This window comes from Homo sapiens, chromosome 14 (assembly GCF_000001405.40).
Source record: "Homo sapiens chromosome 14, GRCh38.p14 Primary Assembly".
In the NCBI taxonomy this organism is placed as follows: Eukaryota; Metazoa; Chordata; class Mammalia; order Primates; family Hominidae; genus Homo; species Homo sapiens.
Window position 1 is genome coordinate 58,623,422 of NC_000014.9, and position 6,406 is coordinate 58,629,827.

The 6,406-nt window shown below is 43.7% G+C and overlaps 3 annotated features.

Moving 5' to 3' along the window:
• Window positions 1,942-2,653: an enhancer, noted in NCBI's record as "OCT4-NANOG-H3K27ac hESC enhancer chr14:59092081-59092792 (GRCh37/hg19 assembly coordinates)". NCBI's record gives its function as "activates a minimal SCP1, AML or CMV promoter by ChIP-STARR-seq in naive and primed H9 embryonic stem cells {active_cell/tissue: H9 hESC(naive and primed)}" and the evidence as "EXISTENCE:reporter gene assay evidence [ECO:0000049][PMID:30033119]".
• Window positions 2,938-3,562: an enhancer, noted in NCBI's record as "OCT4-NANOG hESC enhancer chr14:59093077-59093701 (GRCh37/hg19 assembly coordinates)". NCBI's record gives its function as "activates a minimal SCP1, AML or CMV promoter by ChIP-STARR-seq in primed H9 embryonic stem cells {active_cell/tissue: H9 hESC(primed)}" and the evidence as "EXISTENCE:reporter gene assay evidence [ECO:0000049][PMID:30033119]".
• Window positions 4,749-5,635: an enhancer, noted in NCBI's record as "OCT4-NANOG-H3K27ac-H3K4me1 hESC enhancer chr14:59094888-59095774 (GRCh37/hg19 assembly coordinates)". NCBI's record gives its function as "activates a minimal SCP1, AML or CMV promoter by ChIP-STARR-seq in naive H9 embryonic stem cells {active_cell/tissue: H9 hESC(naive)}" and the evidence as "EXISTENCE:reporter gene assay evidence [ECO:0000049][PMID:30033119]".

Genomic DNA, 6,406 nt, shown 5'->3' on the forward strand with positions numbered 1-6,406 from the left:
AGAAATATCTAATATGATCGGACAAGCTGGGCATGATGGCACACATCTGTAAATCCCAACACTTTGGGAGGCTGAGGCAGGTGGATCACTTGAGGTCAGGAGTTTGAGACCAGCCTGGGCAACATGGAGAAACCCCATCTCTAGAAATACAAAAAAATTTAGCTGGGAATGGTGGTGCATGCCTGTAGTCCCACCTACTTGGGAGGTGCATGGGGGAGGATCACCTGAGCCCAGGAGGTCGAGGCTGCAGTGAGCTGAAATTACACTACTGCACTCCAGCCTGGGTCACAGAGTGAGACCTTGTCTCAAAAAATAAATAAACAAATAAATACAAAAATAAAGTGTATGATCTAATGCTAATAAAATGCATAGGGAAACCCAGCAAGGCTTCTCTGTCGAGATTCATCTTGGCCCCTCTGAGCAAGTATTCCTTCCTTCTGGGTGTGGGTAGGGCCCTCCCTGGAATGGCGGTCTTATGACCTACAATCCAACAAAGTAGGTCAGATAATTTCTTTATGGCCAGTTTTTACATAAAATCTTTTTAGGTTTTATGACTAGTTTTGGGGAAAAGCTGTTTTGGTTTGTATGACCCACCTTAGGGAAAAAAGATTCTGGTTTCTATGGCTGGCCTAGGGGGAGAATGGGACTAAGAGACAGGAGAACGGGAGAAGGTGGTCAGAAAAAACCTTTTGCTTCCGAAGCTGCTGCTGAGGCCTTCATTTTGGGGCATTGTTTTCTGAACCCCAGTATTACAAAGGTAGAAAGTGGCAGAGCTGGAATTTGAACCCAAGCTCTCTGACTGTGTAGGCCACTTTGCTGTGTTATTTCTCATTTTAGGCATTAAGATACAGGTTTAGTTTCCTAATGCCTCATAGTGTGTTGTAAAGTTAGGATTCTATTCCAGCTTTCTGCACTCCCAAAGTGATTCTTTTTATATCCTCCCTAACGCTGCCTCTCTTAATTATAACTGAGCATTCAGTTTAAAAATATCATGGTATCTTAGGGCAGAGGTCAGTGAACTGACCTCTACTTATTTTTTTTTTATTTTTATTTTTTTGAGATGGAGTCTCACTCTGTTGCCCAGGCTGGAGGGCAGTGGTGCGATCTCGGCTCACTGAAACCTCTGCCTCCCGTGATGAAGTGATTCCCCTGCCTCAGACTCCTGAGTAGCTGAGATTGTAGGCGCACGCCACCATGCCTGGCTAATTTTTGTATTTTTAGTAGAGACAGGGTATCACCATGTTGGTCAGGCTGGTCTCGAACTCCTGACCTCGTGATCTGCCCGCCTCAGCCTCCCAAAGTGCTAGGATTACAGGTATAAGCCACCGCGCCCAGCCCCTTCTACCTATTTTTATAAATAAACTTTTATTGGAACATACCCATGTTCTCTTGTTACTTGTCTGTAGCTACTTTTGTGCTACAATGACAGAGTTGAGTAGTTGTGACCAAGACTGTAGGGTACACAAGCCTAAAATATTTACTATTTGGCTATTTACAGAAAAAGTTTGTTGACTCTTGACTGAGAGGAAACATTTCCTTCATTTTTCCTAGCTAACCTGTGGTCCAGTTCTTCAAGAGCAACATCTTTGAGCAAGAGAATTGGTGTAGTGATGACTAGCCTGGCTAGCAGCTTATTTTAAATCTGAGAGATTGTCTGGGGCCAGGAAAAGTAGCCAGGCGAGCACAAGGAGAGAGGGCTGTGGGTGGCTTCTTCAGTGCTGTCTCTCTATCTCTTCCCGGACTCCCAAGAAATTACTGTTCCCTGCTGCATCACCGGGACCTTGAACACTGCCTGCAATATCATGGGCACTCAGTAGGTAACTGTTGAATTAATAATCAAATATCTTTGATTTTTGATTATTCATCTATGAATTCTGCCTCCAGTCAGTCTTTCCTCAAATGGCACCTCTAATCCATTCACCAGATTATGCTTCGTAAATCACCCTTTTCATCCGTTGTTCCCTTGATCTAGACCTCTTCCAACAGTTTGTCCTTCATGTCTCCCAGGACGGAGTTCAAATAATGCTTTTGCCTGGCAGTTATGGTCTTGTCTCTGGCCCCTTTTCTTCACCCTACACACAGGATCTCATTTGCCTAAGCAACACTTTCTATTTTTTCAAGACTTAACTCCTGACCATTTGACCACTCAGGGAGGTAGGGTTTGCTAGGTGGGCCGGATCACAGACAGCTTTGGAAGAGAACAGCTGTGATCAAAACAATGCTTATGATATGCAAAAGAACCTGTAGGAGGGAGAGACTAGGAGCTAGGAGGCCAATTAAGAGTCTATTTGAGGTGATAATTGTGTAGACAAGGGCAATGAGAATAGAGAGGAAGGGACAAGTTGGAGATATTTGAAAGGAAGTGTCTTCAGGAATTTGATAAATTAGTGACCTGGGGGATTAAAAAAGAGGTAAAAGGAACAGGAAGAACAAGAATTTTAGTGTAAGGGCTTAACAGATTGTGTTATCATTGATAAAAATAGGTGCTTTGGGAAGAGAAGCGGGATGGGGTTGAGAGAAAGTGAAGGGTATTTGGAAATAATATTGGGATTATCCTGTGACACTTTAGGGGCCTATATAGAATAGGACATGTGGCATTCGTGTCAATTTTGAGGTCAGGGCTAGAGATCTTGCTCTAATGAGATTGGCTTTTTAATTCATTTACTCAATAAACACTTATTTGAGCAAGCGCAGTGTGCGAGGCACTGTTATAGGCCCTTGAGGTATATTAGTGAACAAAACAAGATCCCTGCCTTTGGGGAGTTTGCATTCTAGCAGATGAGACAGGCAATTAACAGCGAATATAATAAATAAATAAATTGACATAGTGTAATAAGGCACTATGGAAAAAAGACAAGTTGAGGTAAGGTGGCTGGAGCCTATGGAAGCTGGGTGAGGCCTTTGCAGACAACACCCAGAGCTTTTTTCTACAATCACTGGTTTGTTATTCATCTTCTGACCAAGGTGACAGAAGAAATTATGGAGCCCTGGCTACTGTGTGATATTTTAATAAAGATTCCTCTGTATGCCACATCTGGAGGCAATTTGAAAAAAAGGGAAACTTCTTGTGGTTCCCATTTCCTGAATGAGTAGCACAGTGCTCAGATGAAATTCAGATGACAGAAATTCAGATGAGTCGAGGCTGATAATTTGCAGCAATTTAAATGTCACTGCCTTTCCTAGAAGGAAGAGCTTTGTTTATAAACAGCTGGGTCAATAGGAAATGTAGTAGCCTCATTACTCACATTCTTCTAACAGGATTCCAGTCTGAATGCAGAGTACAAGGGATACATAAAAGACTGAAACATCATCACATAGCTTTGGACTTTTGTTCTTTCTGATGACCTGGGGGAAAGGTAAAAGAGCTAATTTTAGAGGCCGGGTGCAGTGACTCAACGCCTGTAATTCCAGCACTTTGGGAGGCCGAGGTGGGTGGATCACTTGAGGTCAGGAGTTCAAGACCAGCCTGACCAACATGTTGAAACCCCGTCTCTACTAAAAATACAAAATATTAGCTGGGCATGGTGGCAGTCACCTGTAATCCCGGCTACTCGGGAGGCTGAGGCAGGAGAATCACTTGAACCCAGGAGGCGGAGGTTGCAGTGAGCCGAGATCGCGCCATTGTACTCAAGCCTGGGCAACAAGACCAAAACTCTGTCTCAAAAAAAAAAAAAAAAAAAACTAACTTTATGTTCTTTTGGAAGATAAATTGGACAGGATGACGACTTTTGGTAAAGACCAAAACCTTGGGCAATTACCTGGTGATATACAGGAACAAAGACTGTATGTATCTGTATTCTTCCCTGCTTGAGTTATTAACAAATAAAGTCCTTGCGTGGGTCACATGCTAAACTGCTCTCAGTTTTCTGTGTTTCTTCAACAGGAGCTGGTGTGCCAAGGATCCTCTTTCATTTCTATTGCCTTCCATAGCCAAGATGCTTATTGGGGGTCTTCAAAGGAGTGGGGATATTCCAAAGGGAAGGAGGGTGGAACGGGTTGGGTGACGTCGTTTGGATGTCAGAAGACACAACTGGTATAGATACAAGAGTAGTATGTGCTGTAATTCTAAATTGGGCTCAGCTCTATTAAAAACAGAAACTGAGGCTGGGTGCAGTGGCTCACGCCTGTAATCTGAGCACTTTGGGAGGCTGAGGCGGGCAGATCACGAGGTCAGGAGATCGAGACCATTCCAGCCAACATGGTGAAACCCCATCTCTACTAAAATACAAAAAATTAGCCAGGCATGGTGGCATGTGCCCGTAATCCCAGCTACTGGGGAGCCCAAGGCAGGAGAATCGCTTGAACCCAGGAGGTGGAGGTTGCAGTGAGCCGAGGTTGAGCCACTGCACTCCAGCCTGGGTGACAGAGTGAGACTACTTCTCAAAAAAAAAAAAAAAAAAAATTCCAAAAACAGACACTGAATTCCTTCATGTAGAAATGAGCTAAAAAGGAAAGGAAAAGGTGTGCATGGAAGCTCGGGGCTCTTTTTCTGTGTTGGTTTTTCTAAGCCAGTGAAATCCCCCAGGTGCACGGTGCAGCGTGATGCATACAGGGACACCCCCCCGTGGTGCAGCAGAACCAAGTTTTCCTCCCTCTGTTCTGACCGAAGCAGCTGCTGGCAGTTGGCAAGGTATGATCCAGCCTTCCTGGGAAGAGCCCAGTATCATTCAGAATATATTTGGGTCTGCTGGGTACATGTTCAGCAGGACAGAAGGGCTTGGAGTTTGAACACTTTTTAACGTAAATATTTCTGTGCTCAGGCAGGTGGGCTTGCACAGTTAGAAAAGCCCTCACCCTAGTGGACATGGTATTTGTTTCATATTTTAATGCTAGTGATTTCTACCCCTTCCTCCAATTCAACAAACATTTATTAAACCTCTTGGAGGTGCTTAGGACTCTGTGAGGTGCTTGGAATCATAACAAAGAGGTAAACTTGAATTAACGACAAACCAAAGTGAACCAATTGTTCAAGAATCTTCTTAGGAATTAATTCCATTACTGGGAGCAATAAGAAAGTCACTTCCCATCCTCACACACACGCAACACACACACGTGTTCAGGTAGAAAAGCCCTCTAGGTAAAAATAGGCAGGGCTTTTTGCACAGTGCCCGCAGGCCTTGCCTGGGCGACCCATGATGAAATGCTGATTAAGCTGCTTTGTGCTCCACAATGGACTGATGGGTCGTTCTCTGTTTCTCCTCAACTTCAAACAGGCTGAGCGGTCTGAGTTTGTTTTAACTCCACTGAGCCCAAATGCCTTTTGTCTTTATCAGACTTTATTCTTATCTTTTCAGAAATGGAACTGTTTCTCTTTTTCCTGCTTCCTCACATTTTCCTATGAGGCACAAACTCACAAGAGACATGTCTGAAAGTGGAGCAGACAGGAAAAGCACCCATTTTGGTTTGTTTCTAAACGTCTATTTCTAGAATTTTCCAAGGTCAGTCCTTCTGGTGTGTCACAGACAGGGGATTCGATCTCAATCTACTTTGAAGGTGATTACATTAAATAAGCTTTTGTTGAGTATCTGCTTTGTATTGGGCTTCATTCTGAGAGAGTTAGAGATGATACAGAATTTATCCCTGCCCTTGAGGAGTTTAATTGAACAAGAGAGGCCACATTAATTAAGCTAAGAATTCACTTCTGAGTTTTCAAAGTCACATTCTTGGCTTCAGTGTTTCTATGCATAATGGCCGTAATTTTAATTTATGTAACATAGTGTTAAATTAACTTTAGCCTAAAGCCGCCTCCTTGCATTTTTAAATAAATAGAAATGGGGTCTCACTATGTTGCCTAGGCTGCAGTGCAGTGGCTACTCACAGGCACAATCTCGCTTCTGAACAGCACCAGAGTTTTAACCTCCTTACATATTTTAAGTTCAGCCTAAAAGTTTCTCCATATATAGTGAATCTTAACCTAACTGGATGTCCAAGCAGACTTGTAAACCACAGCAGATCAGTTTTAGTCAATCACAGGCAGCCAACTGTTTAAATCCTGTTCAAAAAGGCAAAAGCAAAGCTGTAACCAATCCCCCTGTTTCTGTACCTCACTTCTCTTTTCTGTATGGCACTTTCCTTTTTCTGCCCATAAATGTTATCTGACCATGTGGTAGCCCCAGGAGTTCCTCTAAACCTATTCTTGTTAGGGCAGTGTTGATCAAGTGGGGAGGGGTGCTGCCTGATTCAAGATTGTTCTTTGCTCAATAAAACTCTGTTAGACTGGGCTCAGTCGCTCATGCCTGTAATCCTAGCACTGTGGGAGGCCCAAGTGGGTGGATCACCTGAGGTCAGGAGTTTGAGACCAGCCTGGCCAACATGGTGAAACCCAGTCTCCACTAAAAATACAAAAACTAGCCGGGCGTGGTGGCGCATGCTTGTAGTCCCAGCTATCCAGAGGCTGAGCAAGACT